This window comes from Homo sapiens, chromosome 17, assembly GCF_000001405.40.
Source record: "Homo sapiens chromosome 17, GRCh38.p14 Primary Assembly".
Taxonomy (NCBI): Eukaryota; Metazoa; Chordata; class Mammalia; order Primates; family Hominidae; genus Homo; species Homo sapiens.
Window position 1 is genome coordinate 5,885,150 of NC_000017.11, and position 23,303 is coordinate 5,908,452.

The window sequence follows — 23,303 nt, forward strand, 5'->3', positions numbered from 1 at the left end:
TCATTTGATCTCTATAACACTCTTCATTTTGCAAAAGAAGAAACTGAAGCTGAAGGAAGTTAACTTAATCTCCTCATTCATCCTTTTATTTAAGAAGTAACTATTGAGTGCTGCGCTAGGTGGTAAGGACGCCAGGGAATGGGTCCAGCAGTACTGCGGGACAGTATGTCCTGCAAGGATTGACCTCAGGCGGGTGGGTGTTTCTCCAGCATGAGCTTTTGCTCTCTTATCCCAGCCACTGGCCCGTCCATCCTGGGAGGTCCTTCAGGGAGACATGGGACTGTGCCCTCAGAGTCATGGGCCCGCTTGGTGCCAAAGGGTTCCCTCTGCATCTTCACTTGCTGGACAGTGGCAGAGAAAAGATGCTTGTCCTGTATCCTTTGGGTGGGCTCCATGAGGGACCAATACTCCACTGGACTGTAAGCTCCACAGAGGCAGGGACCTTTCTGTCTTGTGCAAACTGCCTGATCCCTCCCTGCATGGCCCAGTGTATGCTCTGGAGTGGGTGCTCAGTAAGTATTTCTTGGTTCAATCATGAGATGCCTATCATAGAAGAGAAAGCTCCCAAACAATGTTGAGAACCGGGGAACATTATGATGGGGGGCCCACGGCTTGAACAGAGCCACTGCATACCTCCAGCTCCTTAGCCTCTGGGTGCTGTTTCCTCTGCAATGTGAACTGCAAGGCCCACACTGCTTTGCCCTTCCTGCCCGGCTTCCAAGCTCTTGGGCATTCTCAAGGCAACGTTAAAGTAAGCTGCGTACATACTAAGGCTAAGGCACCTAGATCTCCAGGAAAGAGGCCTCTTGACAGAGGGGGTTCGGATGGCATAAGATGGTTGTTCTAGTTACAAAGCCCAGGCTGGGAAAATTTTAAGACGAGACTCTAGACTCAGCATGGCCTCCAACTCACTCTGTAACTGTGGGTCTAGTCTCCCATCTATAGAATAAATGGGGACAGATGTGATGGCTCACACTTGTAATCTCAGTACTTTGGGAAGCCAAGGCAGAAGGATCCCTTGAGTCCAGGAGTTTGAAGCTGCAGTGAGCTATGATCACGCCACTGCACTCCAGCCTGGGTGACAGAGCAAGATCTTGTTTCTCTTAAAAAAAAAAAATTAATTAATTAAAAAAAACAATAAAGGGATTATTTAGGGCTTAGGCTTACTAAAGCTCTGATCCCTATAGCTATATGGATCAGCCAGTCTCTTGAAACAACTGATTTCTGTCACTCCCAGATGGCTGGAGAACAGGTCTTCTCTATGGCAAGCTACAGACATATCAGACCAGTTTTGCTGTGGGCCAGGAAACTGCAGCCTCCCTAGAAGCTATTTTTTCCTGCCGCTAGAAAGCCAGGATGGTGATGGCCCCTCAGACTGGACCCCAGGGAAGGTTGTCCTTCCATAACCATTGCATAATTCCATAATTCCACACTTGTTCAAGGTGGCTTTTTTTTTTTTTTTTTTTTTTTGATAGTGTTTTGCTCTTGTTGCCCAGGCTGGAGTGTAATGGTGCGATCTCAGCTCACTGCAACCTCCGCCTCCCGGGTTCAAGCGACTCTTCTGCCTCAGCCTCCCAAGTAGCTGGGATTACAGGCATGTTCTACCACGTCTGGCTAATTTTGTATTTTAGTAAAGATGGGATTTCTCCATGTTGGTCAGGTTGGTCTCGAACTCCCGACCTCAGGTGATCTGCTTGCCTCGGCCTCCCAAAATGCTGGGATTGCAGGCATGAGCCACCACGTCCGGCTAATTTTGTATTTTTAGTAGAGACGGGATTTCTCCATGTTGGTCAGGCTGGTCTCAAACTCCCCACCTCAGGTGATCTGCCGGTCTCGGCCTTCCAAAGTGCTGGGATTACAGGCGTGAGCCACCGTACCTGGCAAGGTGGCTCTTGTTAAAATAGTTTTCCCTCCTTGTGTCAATTCCTTGAACTTAAAAAAAGTTTTGTTTTGAAATAATTATAGATTCACAGGAAGTTGCAAAGAAATGCACCATGCACCCTTCACTTCTTCTTCCCCAATGTTAGCATCTTGCATGATGTTCGCATGATATCAACACCATGAAGATATGTGTGACGATTTTCTCATCTTTTAGAGCAGAAGTAGGCGAATGATGGCTCATGGGCCAGATTTGACTTGCCACCTGTTCTTTTTTAAAACCACCTGTTTTTGTAAATAAATTTCTATTGGAGCACAGGCCTCCTCATTCATTTACGTGTTTTCTATGACTGTTTTCATACTACCATAGCACAAGTGAGCAGTTGTGACAGAGACCATATGGCCTCCAAAGCCTAAAATTGTTACTATCTAGCCCCTTATAGAAAAAGTTTGGAGACCTCTGTTTTACAGTAAGACACCGAGACAGCTAAGATACCGGGATTAAATATCACTCATAAAATTATAAAGACGGCTGGGCACAGTGGCTCATGCTTGTAATCCCAGCACTTTGGGAGGTGGAGGCAGGCGGATCACGAGGTCAGGAGTTCGAGACCAGCCTGGCCAACACAGTGAAACCCCATCTCTACTAAAAATACAAAAATTAGCAGGGTGTGGTGGCGGGTGCCTGTAATCCCAGCTACTTGGGAGGCTGAGGCAGGAGAATCGCTTGAATCCAGGAGGCGGATGTTGCAGTGAGGCGAGATCACACCACTGTACTCCAGCCTGGGTGAGAGAGCGAAACTCTATCTTAAAAAAAAAAATTGTAAAGACAACTATTAGGAGACTAGAATAGACTTAATGCACTTTCTAATCCATAAGAAGGAAACCATACAGTCAAATACGATAACCCATGTAGGGAATGAGCACCAAGAAAGATTTAAAGCAACACAAATGAGGATACAATAAAACCAAATATGTCTATTACTCATATAAAACAAATGAGACAAATTCAGTTGTTAAAATAAGCCTCAGATTTGGTTAAGCAAACAAATTAACTATAAGTTGTATACAAGAGATGAGTTAAAAATAAAGTGATGCAGGCCAGGCGTGGTGGCTCATGCCTTGTAATCACAGCACTTTAGGAGACTGAGACAGGCAGATCACTGGAGGTCAGGAGTTCGAGACCAGCCTGGCCAACATGGTGGAACCTTGTCTCTACTAAAAATACAAAAATTAGCCAGGCATGGTGGTGCATGCCTGTAATCCTAGCTACTCAGGAGGCTGTGGCAGGAGAATTGCCTGAACCTGGGAGGCAGAGATTGCAGTAAGCCAAGATAGCACCACTGCACTCTAGCCTGGGTGACAGAGTGAGACTCCGATGCAAAGATTAGGAGTTAAAGGGAGGGACTTGTGGTTAAATTACTAGACATTATCTTATCTTCCTCCAGGGATCCAATAAAATGGTAGGTAAAAAAAAAAGTGTAGCTGATGATGTCAAAGACAGTGGGTGGAAGTCTAACAGCCGAGAGGAGGCTTCAATACATTTCTTGCAATTAGAAGGGTGTATTGGCAGTGCAGTGGTCATTGGCAATGCAGGGAAGGGTAGAGCTAGAGTGGAGGGGATACAGGTGAAGGAGATGCCCATCTGCCTTCTAGAACCAAGAGAGACTTTAGACCCTGAAGCCCTTGGTGAACTGAATGAGAGATCTCCTCTTTCTACCCTTTGTAGGTCTTCAGTGTTTTGGCCATCTCCCTACCTGATCACCCTGAAGCAACACCCACAAGCAGACAAGCTCTGCCCAGGTATTCACAGCTTCTCACAACTTTCCTTTTTCTCCTTCTGTGAAAACAACTAAACAGGGCCTTATCAAATATTTGAGGAAAGCCTCTGTATGAGTTATGCTGAGCAATACATTAGCCCCCACACTTAGCAGCTTAAAACAACAAGCATTTCTGATCTCACAGTTTCTGTGGGTCAGACATTGAGAACGGCTTAGCCAGGTGGTTCTGGTTCAAGATCTCTTATGAGGTGCACGTCTGAAGACAGGAGGATCCACTTCCAAGATGACTCACTCACATGACTATAGGCAAAGAGGTCTTAGATCCTTGCTGGCTGTTGGCAGGAGGCTTCAGTTTCTCACTACATGGACCTCTCCACAGGGCTGCTTGAGTGTCCTCATGATAGGCGGCTGGATTCCCCCAGACTGAGTGATCTAAGACAGAGAGAGCAAGGAGGAAACTTTTTACAACCCGGTCTTGGATGCTGCATACCATCATTTCCAGTTTCTTCCATTCATTAGAAACAAATCACTAAGTCCAGCCCATGCTCTGTGGAGGAGAATTGGGCTTCACCTCTTGAGAGGAAGAGAATCGAAGGATTTGTGAACATATTTGAAAACTACCCAACCTGTAACAGGAAAAAAGAAGATAAAAATAAATAAATATCTAAAAATAATTCTAAAATGAAGTAGTACAAGCAGCAAAAGAGAATAAAAAAGTTTAATGGGTGTCTTCAGAGGTATTTGAGAGGATACTATATTCATTAAAAAAACCACAAAATCAATGCCATGGAAAATAAAATTAAGAGAATGAGAAAGAGACCTTGGACATTACAGCATGATTACTGATTTCTTTTTTTCTCCTTCACTTGCTTTTATGAAACATTTATTTTACTTTCTTATTAAAGTGGAATTTTTATTAAAAGAAGTTAACCATTTAAGGCATTTAGTTGTGCAACCATCACTTCTCTCTTGTTCCAAAACAAAACTCCAAAAGAGACCCTGTATCCACTAAGCAGCTACTCCCCATTTCTCCCCAACCCATGACAACCCCTGGTCTACTTTCTATCTCTATGAATTTGCCTATTCTGGACATCTCATATAGATGGAATCATATAAGGTATGACTTTTTGTGTCTGGCTTCTTTTGTTTGGCAAAAAGTATTTAATTGTGGGTTTCTGTTTTTCAAATTAAGAGAAGGATTGGAGGCTAAATCAGAAGAAATCTCCAAGAAAGGAGAACATAAAGGAAGAATGAGGAAAATATGAGTGAATAGCAATGCTAGGAGATCACTCCAGGGGGTCCAATATCTGATAGAAGTTCTAGAATGAGCAGAGAAAAATGGAGAAGAGAAACTTATGAAAGAAATAATACAAGAAAAGTCCCCATTAATAAGGGATACATATACACAAAGAACCAGCATACTGAATGGCAAAAGACTCACATTAACACAAACTATTGTGACATTTCATGTCATGAGGAGTTGAGAGGTGATATTAAAGATTTCTAGATGGGAGGGGAAAATAAAGAGCAGCAAAGAAAAATGTAAGAGAATCAGAATGTGTAATTCTTTTTCTCACACACTATCCTTAGAACCTAACCCCTTTGTAAATTATGACTCCAATGTCTAATTTATGTCATCTGACTTCAATACAATAAAACCTAAAAGCAACATCAAGACAATAGCAACCCTTGCAAATCAATGACCTAGAAACTAAAGAAAAACTTTCTTATATTAACTTCTGGGTTAAAGAATAAATGAACCTGAAAATGAAGAATCTCTGAAAGATAAGAATATATGAGAATGAAAATACTATGTATTGATGCTTAGAAATATAGCTTGGAGAGAAATTTTACTCTTAAAATGCTTAAGACATCAATCACGTGTAGCCAGTAACCAGCATGTTAAAAACTAGGACCTATTTAATTAGAAAACGTCTTTATATTTGACTGTCCTTTTAATTAGCTTGGTTGGGTTGTTCTTCCCTTGACACCCAATGAATGTATGAGCATACTCATTACTTTTCTGATAACTCTCAGGTAGTTAAAAAATTTGATATCATCACTTTGGAGCACAAACATACTTTTAAGTGAGTAAGAGTGTTTCTGACATCTCCCTTCCCACGCCCACTTCCTACTCATTTTGGTTTCAAGCTGAGGGAAAGGAGGAGAAAGAACGTGGTACAGAAAACTCTTTCTGGACTAGAACTCCCCTAAGGTGGCTTCCCAAGTTTTGTACCTGAAATGTGGTTAAAGTTAACTCTTTCTTAGAGCACCTGCCTGGTTCCTTTGGCAATTTCTCTACTGGGCCCCTGCCAGTCTTGTTTCTGGGGCACAGCCTTGTCTTTGCCTGGCCTCCTGAGGACCCCTCAGCTTCAGTGCCCATGGGATGGGAGTGCTGTGGCTTCCTAGTGGCAGACTTCTACCTCGTTGCCGCAGGCTGTGTTAGCTTTCTCAGGGGTGGGTCAGGCACCAGTTCTCTGTGCTCCCAACTGTACAGAACCCACACACTTTCTTCTAACCATCTCTGTAGCTTGGGGTCAGGAGATTGCATTGTTCATGCCACCCTTCAGAGTAGGGTCTGACTTAAAGCATAGCTCTCTACAAATAAATGCTCCTCCAAAATGTATTCTAAGGCTCATCATTCAATCCTGTTGTATCCTTATCGTGGTCATTCACCTAACTAGTTCTAGGCTACCTCCGTTAAATATTCAGCATGGTCTCCATCTCTCATCTTACTTTGGTGTCTGAGAACTAGAATATTTTGTATCTTATTTTATATTTTATTTTTTTTTAACGTTTTGTAGAGATGGAGTCTCACTGTGTTGCGCAGGCTGGTCTCAAACTCCTGTCCTTAAGCTATCCTCCTGAAAGTGTTAGGATTACAGGCATGAGCCACCATGCCTGGCCTTAGAATCTCTTGTTTATTCAATCAAATCTTGCAATATTACAGAGCACATTACACAAGAAAAAAATAAAACAAATGAATTAAACATCCAATATGAAAAGTTAGAGATCAACTGAATCAATGCAAAAAAATTAGAAAAAAGTATTGATGAATTTATAAAATAAAAATGGTAGAGCTAATAAATCAAGAATGAATTTATTTGAGATAAATAAATTCAATAAGTTTATGAGGGAAAATACAATAAAATTGAGAAATAATTAGGAGACGGTTCAAATCCACTGCATTAGAAACAAACAAGAGAAAACACCACAGATCCAAAAGAAATTGAATAGGACAGAAAAACTTAACAAAAAATTTAGTCAAAGTAAATTTGAAAAAATGCGCGAGATAGATATTTTCTAGGAACTATAAATGACTAAAATCAGCCCCATAAGAGGTAGAAAGCCTAAATAGAGCAAAAACAATGGAAGAAATTGAGAAAGTTATAAAAAAGCTACCTCTCCACAAAAGTGCCAGATCCAGATGGTCTCAAAGGTAAATTCTTACAAAAGTTCAAGTAACAGATGATTCTGATACTATTTAAACCCTTCCAGAACCTAGAGAAGTAAGGATGTCTTCCAAATCTTTTTATAAAACCAGCATGCCAAAATTTGACAAAGTTAGCACAAAAACACAAAACTTCAGACCAATGTCACAACCACCATAAAGAACAATTTAAACAAAACGATGGTAGAAATTTCCATAGCATATTAAAGGAATAAAACACCACATTCAAGGGGATTCTTCCTCCAAATTTAAGGCCTTTCAAAATTATGTAATCTATTAATATAGTACATTTTTTTAATGTATCACAGGGGGAAAACACCAGAGGATCAACTCAATGGATGCCAAAAAGGAATTTTAATTGAATTCAATATTCACCACTAATTTAACACAAACCAATGAACTAACCTACGTAATGGGAATAGATGGTGTGCTTCCCACTGTCATCCTTCCCTCCCCCATTGCAAGTATATAAAGGTTTGGGTTGAAACGACCTTCACCGCTTCTCTAAGCCCCAAGTTGGTTAGTGGAGTTCCACTGCCACAGTGAGTAGTTAAGGATGGACAATAGCTAAGCAAGATATTTTCTTGCTTAGTGATTGGTATAAACAATCACTAGGATTGTTATAAACAAAGAGTCCTAGGATGTTCTAATCAGAGTAAATACCAGGACTTTTGTTTTTTTTTTTTGCCTTCAAAGCTTTGAAGAAGAGAAGCCTTATTTTTCTCTGGGTTATATGGTGTGCAAATGTTAGGTCTGGAACAGGGCAGCCATTATTGTTTTCTAAGAGGAAAGCCAGCTAGACAACAGAGCCAGCATGCAGAAGAGGCTGGAGCTCGGAGAATCACAGGGACATGAAACTGGAGCCCCAATCAAGCTGCACCTGAAACTTAACTACCACTGGGCTATTTTTATGCAAGCTAATAAATCATCTTTATTTTGTAAGCCAGTTTGAGTTGGTTTTCTATTACGTGCAACTAAAAACAGTCTAACTGATTCAGACTGATATTTTCTTAGCACCATTTAAAAAGTTTAGCTGAAATCAAAACCATGGTAGAAGATGAGATGCATCCTCATTAAATTCAGGGCATGCAAGATGAGAACAGCATCTGCAAAGGATGGCTGGGGAAAATCCTAGATTTCTTGAGTCTGAGGTCAAAGAGGGGTGGAATAAAGGCGAAGATAAAAGGGCTGATAGCCCTGGGGACTCTGAAATGAAGAGAACAGAGAAGACAGATGCCCTGTGGTGATTTGCTCCAAAGCAGCTCAAGGGGAGGGGAGCCAGCTGCTTTCCCTTAGAACAGTGGTTTTTCAACTCCAAGTGATTTTCCCTCCCAAGAGACATTTGGGAATGTCTAGAGACATTTATGGTTTCACAACTTGGGGTCAGTGTTATTGGCATCTAGTGGGTAGCAGCCAAGGATGCTTCTAAATATCCCTCAATGTACAGGACAGCCCCCGACAATAAGAAATTATCTGGCCCAAGATGTCAGTCATGTTGAGGTTGAGAAGCCTCACCTTTATCCTCTCAGTTTTGCTGGTTTATGTTCACAGTTCCTTCCGTGGCCTCGTGGGTAACCTCACTGTGGAGTTTACATTGTTCTCACAGCACGAGTCAATGAGATTAGACAAGAGACAAAAATATTGAAAAGGAGGAGGTCCAGTGTTGTGATTCACAAATAATGGCCATATACTTGCTGATTCTAAGAGCTGGCTGAGAAACTGTCAGCCATTGTAGAAACAATGGAAGAATTCAGTGAGGTGGTGGATTTCAACATTAATAGTCGAGACCAACAGTTTTGCTGTATGCTAAAAATAGCTAGTTAGAAAATATGGAAAATATAAAAAAGTGTACAAAATGTAGGTACACGTTTAGCCTGAGCTGATCATTACCCTTATGAAGATCATTACCCCTTTTACTCTCTTTTGAGAGGCATACAGAAAAGACTGCTTCAAACTCTCTGGACCTGGCTCTAGAAAGGAATATTCAGCCTGACAGAGATGAGTGTGCTTCTCAAAATTAACTGAGAAACGAAATTCTGATAAAATTTCACAGGATTTTTCTTCTTTTGGAATCTGTTGAAATAAAACCTAAGTTCATCTGGACAAAAAAACTATAAAAAATAACTGAGCCAATTCTGAGAAGAAAACTACTGACATGGGACCAGCCTGATAAGATACCAAAACATCTGAAACTCAGCAATAAAGCAGTTTAATAATGGAGAAGAAACACACAGGTGGATGAAAGCAATAGAGATTCCAGAAATAGACCCAAGTACATGGAAGAATTTCATTTACAGTAAAGGTATAATTTTCTGAAACAATTCTCTAGCCATCTGGTAAAATGAAAGCCTTCTCAGCCCTCATGTCTGAAACTTATATGTCCAACAAAGGATTCATTTTCAGAATATATAAATAACTCATACAAATCAATCAGAAAAAAGATAATGAAAAAATGACTATAACACTGGAACAGCCACCTCACAAATAAGGCAATCCAGATGGCCAATAAGCAATGGAAAAGGAGCTTGCTCTGATTAGTCAAGGAGCTACAAATCAAAACCACAGCTGAGATCCTTTACTCATCCACCAGAACGGCTAAAAGTTAAGGACTGATGATATAAATTGTTGTTGAAGATGTGGAGCAGCAACTGGAACTTTTTTTTTTTTTTTTTTGAGGCAGAGTCTCGCTGTCGCCCAGGCTGGAGTGCAGTGGCGCGATCTCGGCTCACTGCAGGCTCCACCCCCTGGGGTTCACGCCATTCTCCTGCCTCAGCCTCCCGAGTAGTTGGGACTACAGGCGCCCGCCACCTCGCACGGCTAATTTTTTGTATTTTTAGTAGAGACGGGTTTTCACTGTGCTAGCCAGGATGGTCTCGATCTCCTGACCTCATGATCTGCCCACCTTGGCCTGCCAAAGTGCTGGGATTACAGGCGTGAGCCACTGCACTGGGCCCAGAGACATTTCTGGTCTAGCAGAAAAGCCCTGGCTCTTAGACCTGGGCCAGCAACCTTTAATATGCAAATACCAGACATTAGAAACCGGGTCCACCCAAACATGGGGATTCTGCCATCTTCTTCCTTGCCACCACATATGCCTGGCAGCATGGCCACCCCCACATATCCCCACGTGTGTAGAACATCATGGAGCCCTGCATTTGCATATTAAAAGGCTAAAGTGGGAGGGCCAGTTTTTTCATGGGCTATGAGAATGACATGCCTGCTCAAACCAATCCCCCGAGCCCTGTGCAAATCAGACACAACCTCCTCCAGCCTCCTCATAAAACTGGCTAGTATCCGCGGCACATGGGGTCTCCTCCCTCGGCTTTGGAGCCCCCTCCCTCTGTCTCTGCACAGGGGAACTTCTTCCTTCTTTCTTCTCCCTTCTTTCTTGCCTGTTAAACTCTCTGCTCCTTAAAACCATTCCACATGCGTGGGTGTCGTTTTTTCCAATTCAACTCAAAACGAAGAACCTTGGTGTTGCTCCACTCATCAGAGCTGTATCACTGCTTTCCAAACCATTTGGAACACAAAATTTAAACAAAATGCACACACATGATGACACAGAAAGTCCACTGCTAGATGTATATAACCAACTTACTCAAATGATACATTAATTTTGTTATATTTGGACAATGGAATATACAGCCATGGAATGAATGAACATATCTGTATGAACATGAATGAATGATCCAGCTATGAAAACAACTATGGATGAATGAACATGGCTGTATGAACATGAATGAATGATCCCACTATGAAAACAACTATGGATGAATGAACATGGCCGTATGAACATGAATGAACGAGCTATGAAAACTACTATGGATGAATGGACATGGCTGTATGAACATGAATGAAAGATCCAGCTATGAAAACAGCTATGGATAAATGGACACGGCTATATGAACATGAATGAATGATCCAGCTATGAAAACAGCTATGAATGAATGGACATGGCCGTATGAAAATGAATGATCCAGCTATGAAAACGGCTATGAATGAATGGACCTGGCTGTATGAACATGAATGAATGATCCAGCTATGAAAATAGCTATGAATGAATGAACTCCAGCTACGGACAACATACACAACCACATATGACAACACACATGGCAAGTGTGATGTTGAGCAAAAGAATACATCTGGAATGATTGTGTTTACAGAATGTTAAAGCACAGACAGAGCTAATCGATGGGGACAGAGGTCAGGTGACCTTTGGGGAGAAGGAGGTCTGTGCCTGGGAGGAAGCATGGCTGGGGAGGAGGGGGGCTTCTGGGTTGCTGACAATGTTCTTTTATTTTCCGATGTGGGTATGTTCCCCTAGTGAAAATCCATTTTATATTTGGGTGCTTTTCTGTATGGATGCTATTCATCAATAGAAAATTTAAAAAGAAATACAGAGGCTGGGCACAGTGGCTCACGCCTATAATTCCAGCATTTTGGGAGGCCGAGGTAGGCAGATCACCTGAGATCAGGAGTTCAAGACCAGCCTGGCCAACATGGTGAAACCTCATCTTTACTAAAAAATAAAAAAATTAGCTGGGCGTGGTGGTGGTGTGCGCCTGTAGTCCCAGCTACTAGGGAGGCTGAGGTGGGAGAATCTCTTGAACTCGGGAGGTGGCAGTGAGCTGAGATGGAGCTACTGCACTCCAGCCTGGGTGACAGAGTGAGATTCCGTCTCAAAAAAAAAAAAAAAGAAGAAAAAAAAAAGAAATACAGAAATATATAGTATAGTAAACAAGCTTATAGTAAACAAGCGAATGGAAGATTCTGTACCATGTTGAAGGCCATTTATGCAGCGTCGGTGATTCCCAGTCTTCCCACCTAATACATAGAGTGAATAATGCCAAACCCGAGTGGGTTTTAGGAAAATTAAATGAGACAATGGATATGGAAGTGTTTTGTAATCTGTAAAGGCTGGCGTCGTTACGAGTTTTACCATTACCCCACGTTCCCACTGCTGAGAAGGGCACACGTGGAATTATGATGACAAGTGGTGTCCGGGGCCCCTGTGCTCTCTTGTTCAGTTGCTCTTTATCATTTAAATCTGTCCTGGCTTTACTCTCTTCACCACCTCCACTGCCCCACTCCCAAGATGAATTCTTTCCTTAAACAATGGAAGATAGATGGGCTTTGTGTTTCTTGAGCTGATTAAAATCATTTCCTCTCTGTGAGAGTCCATTCATGTGGAAATGGTGCTTCTGAACACTAGCCTCAGAATCTAGCCTCGTGCACTGGAATTGCAGCCTGCGATGTCTAACCATTCCTGTTCCTTCCTGGCAGCATTTCACAGACTCCGCAGATGCCCCTGCAGAGCCTTGAATGCTTTATATCCGGGCGCCAGCTGAGCCCCTCTGAATGCTGCCTGAGTGCCGTGGGTGCAATTGCAGTCGTGCGTCGTGCCGAGTGTGGTGGGCATTCATCAGCTACCATCACGGCAACAGCAGCTTCTGCTTATCACGTGCGTTGTCTCAGTGGGTCCTCACAGCAGACCGGTGGCAGTAGATAACACAATCCCCATTCCACAGGTGGGAAAGCTGAACTGCAGATCAGAGGCAGGAAGTGCCTGGGCCACAGTCACAGAGTCACACATTGCAGAGACAGGATGTGAATGTGAGTTTGTTTGACTCTAGAGCACATGCTGGTTCATTTATTCAATAAACGTTTATTAAACATCTGCTATGTGCCAGGCACTTGGATAGGTTGGTGAAAAGTCTTCCTGCCTCATGAGCTTACATTCTATTGGAGGAGGTGGACAACAACGGCTAAACATAATACATAAATAAATCATGTAATATACTAGAATGCTAGGAGCCTTGGGAAAAAAAGAGTTGGACAGTGCAAAGGGGTATCAGGAGTGGTGAGAGGTTGGGGGCGGGAGTGTCTTGACTTGCTAGTGAAGTTGGCCAAGGGAGACGTCCTTGAGAAGGTGACATTTGACCCGCCCGCCTCAGCCTCCCAAAGTGGTGGGATTACAGGCGTCAGTCACTGCTCCCAGAGTTCAAGACCAGCCTGGCCAGCATGGTGAAACCCCATCTCTGCTAAAAATATAAAAATTAGCCAGGCGTGGTGGTGGGTGCCTGTAATCCCAGCTACTCAGGAGGCTGAGGCAGGAGAATCGCTTGAACCTGGGAGGTGGAGGTTGTAGTGAGCTGAGATCTCACCACTGCACTCCAGCCTGGGCAACAGAACGAGACTCTGTCTCAAAAAAAAAAAAGGGACATTTGAACAAAGTCTTGAGGAAGGCAAGAGGGGTTAGCTGTGTGGATACCTGGGAGAGGAGTGAACCAGATTGAAGGAAAACTTCACATCCAGTCCCTGCGTAGGAGAGGCTGGCGTGGCCGGCGCAGGGTAAGGGAGGGGGCAGTGGCAGTAGCAAGGGTCAGAGAGGTGGCTGAGCGCCAGGTCCCATAGAGTCTCGAAGTCCATTGTAAAGGCCTTGGCTTTCTCGCTGAGTGAAATGGGGGTCCTAGGAGGGACAGAGCAAAGGAGCACACTGCCCCATTTGTGTTCCAAATGCTGTGTGGAGGCTGGACTATGGTGCAGGAAAGGCGCATGCATGGAGGCCAGTAGGAGGCAAGAGGTGATGGCTGGGACTGCAGAAATTGAAATGTAACAGTGAGACATGCCTGGGTCACGGACGTACTTTTATTTATTTATTTGTTTATTTATTTTGAGATGGAGTCTCGCTCTGTCACCCAGGCTGGAGTGCAGTGGTGCGATCTCAGCTCACTGCAACCTCCACCTCTCGGGTTCAAGTAATTCTCTGGTCTCAGCTTCCCGAGTAGCTGGGATTACAGGTGCCCGCCACCACACCTGGCTAATTTTTGTATTTTTAGTAGAGACGGGGTTTCACCATGTTGGCCAGGCTGGTCTTGAACTCCTGACCTCAGGTGATCTGCCCACCTTGGCCTCCCAAAGTGCTGGGATTACAGGTGTGAGCCACTGCATCCAGCATTCTGGATGTACTTTGAAGATAGAGTTGATGAGATTTGCTGAGGGAGTCTGGGGTCTAAGAGAAAGAAGGAGAGAGAAGATGACTCTAGGTTTTTGGCTGGGGCATCTGGAAGGCTGGAGATGAAGAAGGGTGTGAGAGGAATGCGTTTGGGGAGTGGGATGTCAGCGCAGTTTTGGATCTGCTGGGTGTGAGATGATTCTCAGGCCTCTGAGTAGAGATGTTAGGTAGGCAGTTGGATGCAGGAATGTGGAATTTGGGAGAAGTCTAGTGTGAAACCTTATTTGGATTCAGGTTTTCTCTGTAAATAAAAGGGAGAGCTGTAAAGTCAGGTGCTTCCCGGGGATCTTGAGGGAGCCTGAAGCTGTGGCCCTCGGGGAGGGGGAGAGCCTGATAGTCCTGACAACCTGTGAGCTGGGCCTGAAACAGTCCCTCCCAAGCACACACGCTGTGGCCCAGGAATCGTCGGCAGGTGCCAGGCCTATGCCGGGGCTCCTGCACCCCTGATGGTCATGGCAAGTGTCTCACTCTTCTTATCACCAGCCCGCTCTCACTCTTATCCTATTTCTGTCAGCTCCTGGTCCTGACTTTGGGACCCAACTGTGGTTCTAGCCCCTCCTTGAGTCCCCACACTGGGTCCCTTGGTCACCTCTTGTGTCTTTGGGAGAGGCATGCTTGACATCCAACTCATTTGTCTCTTGACCCAACTGCAGTTGGACTAAGGACAGAGGTACTTCCTCCCATCCCCACACTCCAGGAGGGCTTGCGCCAGCTTGGCCGGCTCAGACGCAGATGCTGATTGGAGAGTCCAGTCCGTGAAGGCCTAGGTCACCAGCCTGGCCCTGCCAGAGATGGCTGGGATACTGAACATGGCCGGTGGAACTGGAGAAATCAATAGGCATCTAGTGTCTGACTCTCCCTGGCAGGGAGAAAGGCATGGAGTTACCTCCTTTTTCAGAGTGGCTTGCTGGTAAGGGTTGGGTGGAGGCTGGAGGGGATAGAGGGAGATTGCAAATGGTGACCAAGTCAGAAGAGAAGCACATCCACAATGGAGTGTCCATGAAGGTGGCCTGAAGTGTCCTCTGTGTCCAGGGGATCTCTAGTGACATTGGTGGGTGGGTGGGGGTTCTTCGTCTAGAAGGATGGGACAGAGCTGTGCACTGAAGCCTGTGGATTCTAATCTCAAGGCCACAGCTGGGATCTGCCATCCTCTTTCAGATGGGCTGTTTTTCTTACTTTAATTGTGAATATAAACAAATATCTATGGAAGCTATGAGATGGAAGATAATAAGGGAACAGAGTGGGGTTGTCACTGACACTTCCGCCCTCTGGCATGTGGGATTGTGAAATGCTGGGGGACAAGGACTTCTGGGTTTTTACAATGTTTACACCTGTCTCCTCCACAACAAGAAATGGGCTTCACAGAATTGTCCACATTCTCATCCAGGCCCTTTGGGGTCGGAAGTAGATTCGGGGAGTCAAAAGGGCAGATACATGACTGGGATTAGGGTTCAGTTGTGCCCAGGGTAAGATGTCAGCCGAAGGTCAGAAGCGGGAATAGGGGCAAAGCTCAGTCAATGGGTGGCTCAGGTTGCATCTTGGCCTGGGGACAGGCTAGGGCTTCATGGGGTCAGGATCAGGATGAATCTACTTCCAGGGGACATTCTTGTCCTATGTGTAGCTAAGAGGCCTGCTCCTGGATTCAGCCAGTCTCCTGCCTCCTTTGTTCTGTCTCCTGATTAACTTTTTTTTTTTTTTTTTTCTGAGAAGGAGTCTCCCTCTGTCACCGAGGCTGGAGTGCAGTGGCACCATCTTGGCTCACTGCAAGCTCTGCCTCCTGGGTTCATGCCATTCTCCCGCCTCAGCCTCCCAAGTAGCTGGGACTACAGGCGCCTGCCACTATACCCAGCTAGTTTTGTTTTTGTATTTTTAGTAGAGACGGGGTTTTGCCATGTTATCCAGGATGGTATCTATCTCCTGACCTCGTGATCCACCCGCCTCGGCCTCCCAAAGTGCCGGGATTACAGGCGTGAGCCACCACGCCCAGCCTGTCTCCTGATTCACTTCTGAGCAAACCAAACCTGTCATGACTTGAGAGCAAGTGATCCTTCCTACTAGATAGAGCCTTATCCAACAGGCTCCAGCCTCCTGGAGGAAAGCTGGGCTCTGGCTTGAAATTAACCTGCTCTGGGGTCCTTTCCAGTCCCATGTGGTTCTGCCTGCCCTCTTTGTGGCCAGCACTGTGCTGGGCACTTTCATATGTGAGCTCTCTAGATCTTGAGAACAATTGCATGGGGGAAAGGATTAGCATCCCCATTTCATGTGCAAGGAAAACTGAGGCTCAGTTGCTATTTGTACCCAGGGGCCTATGTATCCTTCTGGCTGTGGAGTCATTTTACCCCTTTTGCTTCTGGATGATGCTCAATCCCACCAGGATTCCCCAAAGGACAGAGAAGCAAACCTGGGTGATCAAGGCGCCATTTCATCTTTTACCTGAGTGCTCAGAGTCAGGAGTGATCAGGCCTGATCTTGTCTCTGCTCAGCCTGGGCCAGCCTTAAAGCCCTTTCCTCAAAGGGGATTCCGTATTGAGAAAAGACATGGCAGAGCAGGTTTTCTGCTCCTGCAGAAAGACCTCAGGCAGATCCCTCCAGGCAAGTTTGGAAAGGGGCCAGGGAGCAGGCTTTCTTGGTCTCTGGAGGGCAGGGAGCAACCCTTCATCAAAGCAGCCAAATCGTTGTCTCTCGGGGCAGTGGCGCCCAGCACCCTCCCGAGGCTGGCCATGACAGTGGGCTCCTGGGGATGTTGGCTGAAGGCAGGGGGCAGTTTGGGTTCATGTGCTGAGTCCAATGTGTCCGCCTCTGCAGAACAAACAGGGGAGGACTGACTGCCTGTGCTTCCTTCTCCTTCTGAGCATCGTCTTGCCTCAGTGGCTAGGGGAGGGGTTGTGGGCTGCCTGACCCATGACCAGGGGTTGGGTGTGAGAAGGCAATTAGACACTTTTGCAGCACAAGTCAGGCTGCAGGAGGGTCTTGCCCTCAGGGAATTCTCCTTGCCGTCTCCTCCCTGAGCGTGGCCTCCTCTGTCTCTCAAGTTTCCAGGCCCCTCCCCCTTTTGAAACCCATGCCTCATCTTTCACCCAAAGACCCACACCTTGCTTGGCTGAACCTACTATACTTCCCTGTGGGCAGGAGGCAGGCAGGGAGCTGGGTCTTGCACACTGGGTCTTGTACAGAACCAAGAGGCCATTCGTTGTTGCTGGCTTTGCCACTGACTAGCAGCCCCTGTCAGGGACTGACGAATGAACGTGGGCACCCTGGGTGACAGAGATGGATGGAGATCCCTGCACACGGCCCTGCACGCACGGCCGGTCTGTGTATTCCTCCCCTTGGGATCAGGCGAATCAGATGGCTGCTGATGGAGCCATTACTCAGTCATTTAGTTGTGCTGGGAGGGGGAATGTGAGTTTCACCACTAGGACAATTAGGACCCCTCCCTAGGGGCTGCAGTATTAGGTGGAGGAGTGTGGGGTGGACAGATGAGTCCCACTAGGGGGTGATGAGGATAACAGCCCGTTGGCTCCAATCAGATCGGAGGCACACCTGTTCCTCCCCAGGGCTGGGCTTGGGCAGACACCACTCACAGCCAGCCCTACTGTGGTTAGGCGTGAAGCCAGACCTCACGTGAGGTCCATTTGGGCTTTCTGAGCTCTGGTGCACCAGCCACAGAGAAAGAGAGCCTGGATGCTCTCTTGGCAGCCTGCTGCCTTTGTTTTAAACTAAAAAATCTGCGTCAAGCGCAGCGCTTGGTATGCAGACAATTCCCTGGGAAGAGATTCTTTTACGTTTGTGCAGTAATATATTCTCCATCCCGGGGCCTGTTATTGTACAATAAAACAAGAAGGCTGGGAATCAATGCAGAAATGTGAAAAAAATGCTCTGAATCATTTTCATAACCAGCAAATGTGGTTTTCAGCTGAGAAACATTTTCTTTCCTATTCTGAAATGGTGGGAGCAATTTTCAGGCCTGGGTACTGGGATTGAAACTCTTTGCTGCTTAAAGGTAAATATCACCCAGAGGAGAGACCACACCATACTGGGCCGCGATGAGCTGAACTTGGCTATAATAATCACAGTACGCACTTCAAAAGCATCTATCATGTGCCAGCTCTGTGCTGGGCACTTTCATATTTGAAAGGTGATATGTTTGGACAAGTCAAAACAGGGTTCTTCTGCTCCAGCCCCCCATCATGGAGGAATTCTCTCCACAGCACTCCCCACAATGGACCTAGAGGCTTTCCTTAAGTGCTTGCAGTGAGAGTAACTCCCTAACTCTAAAAAGCTCATGCTATTTTCTGTTAATAGCTCCAAGTATTAAAAAATGCTTCTGACTTCTTGTCTCAGTGGAGTGGGCACGTGCTGAAGTCTCCCTGCTCAGCTTCAATCACATGCAAATAATACAAACATAGATGTCATGCAAGTACAAATATCATTTTGTCTTGTTTCTGATAGGACTGGCCATATTAAAAAAACAGAATAATTTCTATAGGCCAGAAATGAAACAGAGATACTGATGTGTGGGAGTTGAAACTCTGAGATCCACAGTGTACCAAGACTGGAAACAGCCTGTGAGCCAGGAATTCACTCACACATCAATGGGAAAATGTGACTTCTAGTCAAGGAAAAAACCCACCAATAGAAACTTACCCTGAGATGACCCAGGTCTTAGATTTAGCCAGGCAAAGGCTTTAAAGCAGCTTTATAAATATGTTCAAAGGCTTAAAGGAAAATAGTCTTAATGACTCAATAGGGAATCTCAGCAGAGAATGGAACAAAATGGAAACTCTAGAATTGAACACTATAATAATTTAAAATTTAAAAAAATGCACTGGATGGGCTTCGTAGTAGATTAGAGGGGACAGAGAATGAATAAGTAAATTTGAAGATGGGTCACTAGAAATGATCCAATCACAGGAGAGCAGACAGAGAAAAGATTGAAGAAAATGAACAAAGCTTCAGAAATTTATGAGATAAGGTCAAATAGTCTGACATACATGCAATAGAAGTTGCAGAAGGAGAATATGGGTCTGAAATAATAGATTATATATGTCAGAATATTATATATATAATATAGGTCAGAATAATGAGTGAAAATGGGTCAGAAATAATATTTAAAGAAATAAATAGATGAAAATTGGATAAAATAAATATAGACTTACAGTTACAAAAAGTTCAGAGAATTTCAAGAAAGATAAATTCATACCCACCCATATCATACTCAACCTGCTGAAAATAAAGACAAAATCTTGAAGGGAGCCAGAGGAAAAAAAAGACACATTTTATATAGGATAACAATGATAAGGACTACCACTGATTTCTCAGAAACAGTGGAGGCTGAAAAACAAAGGAATAACATATTTGAAGTGATTAAAGAGGAAAAAAAAATCCTGTTAGCCTTGAGAGTTTTACTGTTTGTATTCAGTAAAAACATACTTCAAAAATGAAGGTGAAATAGAGTCATTTTCAGACAAATAGAAGCTAAGAGAATGTGTTGGCAGCAGACCTGCACAGCAAGAACTGCCAAAGGATGTTCTCCAGGTTGAAGAGGAATGCAACCTGATGGAAACCTGCGTCCCCAGGAAGGAAAGAGCAAAACTGCTTTTCTATTGTATTTTTTAAAAAAGACAATTGACAGTTTAAATGAATAATAATAATAATACAAACCATGATTTAAAACATCTGTGGAAAGCAAAAGATAGGCAACAATAGCAGAAAGAATGGAGGGTGTTCATATAATGATATAATTATACCATTGTAAGATTATTTTATTTGTAAACTGGGAAATAGTAAAGGGGACGTATGAAGGATCCTGTGGGAAGTGGGAAGTGAAACAGAGTTGACTGAGGATGTGTATGATGAGCCCAAGTGTATGGTAAATAACTAATAAAAGGAGCTGGAGCTAACAAGCCAATAGAGATGAGAAAATGAAATATTAAGAAATACTTGATTAACCTAAAGGAAGCTGGTGAAGGGGTAAATGAAGAGCAAAGAACAACAGGAAAAAATGAAAAACAAATGGGCAACTTAAATCCAGCCACATCGATAACTACATTAAGTGTGAACAGAAGAAACACCAAGGTTGCAGGATAGCAAATCAAATTTTAAAAATCCATTGTAGGCTGGGTGCGTTGGCTCCCTCCTGTAATCCCAGCACTTTGGGAGATGGATGTGGGTGGATCACAAGGTCAGGAGTTCAAGACCAGCCTGACCAACATGGTGAAATCCCATCTCTACTAAAAATACAAAAATTGTCTGGGTGTGGTGGTGCGTGTCTGTAATCCCAGCTACTCAGGAGGCTGAGGCAGGAGAATCACTTGGACCTGGGAGGCGGAGGTTGCAGTGAGCCACGATTGTGCCACTGCACTCCAGTCTGGGCCACAGAGTGAGACTCCATCTCAAAAAAAAAAAAAAAAAAAAAAAATCCATTGTATTCCTCCATACTGGCATCAAGGATTGGAAAAACGGAAATTTTAAAATACTATTTCAATAGAGTCAATAAAGATAAAATACTTAGGAAGAAACTTATTAAAAGATATACAAGACCTGTACAATGCTGATTTCAAAGCTTTAAATAAATGGAGAAATACATGTTTGTGGATAGGAAGCCCCATTTTATTAAGGTGTTCATTCTCCATATTTATCTATAGATTCAGTGCAATCTTAAGCATCATCCCAGTAGGAGATGAAAAAGCCAGTTTAAAAATCTATGTGGAAATGTAAAGGATCCAGAAGAGGTAAGACAGTTTTGAAAAAATAAGTACAGTATGAATTGCTTAACAATGGGGAGGCATTCTGCAGAATGTGTCGTGAGGTGATTTCGTTGTTGTGTGAGCATGGTTGAGTGAACTTACACAAACCTGGATGGTATCGCTTACTACACATTTGGGCCATAGGGGACAGCCCATTGCTCCCAGACTACAGACCTGTACAGCATGTTACTATAACTGAACACTGTGGGCAATTGTAACACAATGGTAAGTATCTGTGCATCTAGACATAGAAATGGTATAGTGAAAATATGGAATCAAAGATGAGAAATGGTGCACCTGTGCGGGGCACTCATCATGAGTGGAGCTTGCAGGACTGGAAGTTGCTCTGGGTGAGTCATTGAGTGAAGGCCCGGGACATTACTCTACACTACTGTAGACTTTCTTTTTTTTTCTTTTGATTCTTTTTATTTTTGAGACGGAATCTCGCTCTGTTGCCAGGCTGGAGTGCAGTGGCTCGATCTTGGGTTACTGCAACCTCCACCTCCCCGGTTCAAGTGATTCTTCTGCCTCAGACTCCCAAGTAGCTGGGACTACAGGCACGCACCACCACACCTGGCTAATTTTTGTATTTTCGGTAGAGACGGGGTTTCACCATGTTGGCCAGGATGGTCTTGAACTCCTGACCTTGTGATCCTCCCGCCCCAGCCTCCCAAAGTGCTGGGGTTACAGGCATGAGTCACTGCACCTGGCTGACTACTGTAGACTTTCTAAGCACTGTACACTTAGGCTACACTACTTATGACAAATATTTTCCTTTTCTTAGTAATAAATTAACCTTAGCTTACTGTAACATTTTTCTTTGTAAACTTAAAACATTTTTAAACTGTTTGATTCTTTTGCAATAACAGACTAAAACACGAATACCTTGTACAGCTGTGTAAGAACATTTTTTCCTTATATTCTTATTTTAAAAGTGTTTTTCTGTTCAAACATTTATGTATGTATGTATGTATGTCTGCATTTTTGCTTTTTAAACTTTTTTGTTAAGAACTAAGGCACGAACACACACATTACCCTAGGCCTACACAGGGTCAGGGTCTTCAATATCACTGCCCCCCACATCCATGTCTTGTCTCACTGGAAGGTCTTCAGGGCCAGTAACACACATGGAGCCGCCATCTTTCATGATAATAATACCTTCTCTGGAATACCTCTTGTAGGGCCTGCCTGAGACAGTTTTACAGTTAAAATTTTTTTAATAAGCAAAGGAGTACACTCCAAAATAACTATAAAAAGTATAGTATAGGCTGAGTGTGGTGGCTCATGCCTGTAATCCCAGCACTTTGGGAGGCCAAGGCAGGTGGATCACCTGAGGTCAGGAGTTTGAGACCAGCCTGGCCAACATGGCAAAACTCCATCTCTACTAAAAATACAAAAAAAAAAAAAAAAAAAAATTAGCCAGGTATTGTGGCAGGCACCTATAATCCCAGCTACTTGGGAGGCTGAGGCAGGAGAATTGCTTGAAATTGGGAGGCAGAGGTTGCAGTGAGACAAGATCATGCCACTGCACTCCAGCCTGGGTGACAAGATTGAGACTCTGTCTAAAAAAAAAAAAAAAAACAGAAAAAAAAAGTATAGTATAGTAAATACATAAATAGTCATTTATTATCAATATTATATACTGTACATAACTATATGTACTATACTTTTATACAACCGGCAGAGCATAGATGCAGTCTGGTGGATGTTGCCTGAAATGTCATTACGCAGTTCATGACTGTACAAAGAGGAACACATGCTCTCTAATGTCTTAATCTACCAGCTGCAATCATCAAGACAGTGTAGTATTGGTGTAAAGACAGACATAAAAGATCAATGGGATAGAATAGAGACTTCAGTTCATATATATGGTCACATATATATGGTCAATTTATTTCTAACAAGGGCTCTGGGATAATCCAGTAGGGAAAGGTAACTCTTCAACAAATGGTTCTAGAACAACGAGATATTTGTACAGAAAAAAATAAATCTCAACCCCCTACCTCAAACCACAAACAAAATTAATTCAAAATGGATTATAGACCTAAACATAAAAGCTGAAACTATAAAACTTGTAAAGAAAAACAGAAAATCTTCACGACATTAGATTTCTTAGAAAAGACACAATAAGTGCAAACCACCAAAGGAAAAAAATGAATAAATAAACTGGACTGCATATCAAGGAAAACCCTCCACTTTTTAAATACATCATTAATATATGTGACAAAGGGCTTTTTCCAAAATATATAAAGAACACTTACGACTCAACAAGATAAACAATGCATTTCTTTTAATGGCTGAATGACTTGAATAGAGTGCATATCCAAACTAGCCTTAACCTTTTTTTTTTTTTTTTTTTTTTTTTGAGACAGAGTCTTGCTCTGTTGCCCAGGCTGGAGTGCAGTGGCGCGATCTCGGCTCACTGCAAGCTC

At 43.7% G+C, this 23,303-nt stretch overlaps 1 long non-coding RNA gene across 1 annotated transcript in view, besides 2 other annotated features; it reads left to right on the plus strand.

The window, feature by feature from the left end:
* The window catches only part of LOC339166 (uncharacterized), a 158,463-nt gene that overhangs the window by 112,916 nt on the left and 22,244 nt on the right, over positions 1-23,303 (plus strand). The window contains exon 3 of the long non-coding RNA NR_040000.1: positions 3,608-3,681. This is a non-coding gene — a long non-coding RNA (uncharacterized LOC339166). The remainder of the gene's footprint in view (positions 1-3,607; positions 3,682-23,303) is intronic.
* Positions 12,008-12,907: an enhancer, noted in NCBI's record as "OCT4-NANOG-H3K27ac-H3K4me1 hESC enhancer chr17:5800477-5801376 (GRCh37/hg19 assembly coordinates)". NCBI's record gives its function as "activates a minimal SCP1, AML or CMV promoter by ChIP-STARR-seq in primed H9 embryonic stem cells {active_cell/tissue: H9 hESC(primed)}" and the evidence as "EXISTENCE:reporter gene assay evidence [ECO:0000049][PMID:30033119]".
* Positions 12,908-13,806: an enhancer, noted in NCBI's record as "H3K27ac-H3K4me1 hESC enhancer chr17:5801377-5802275 (GRCh37/hg19 assembly coordinates)". NCBI's record gives its function as "activates a minimal SCP1, AML or CMV promoter by ChIP-STARR-seq in naive H9 embryonic stem cells {active_cell/tissue: H9 hESC(naive)}" and the evidence as "EXISTENCE:reporter gene assay evidence [ECO:0000049][PMID:30033119]".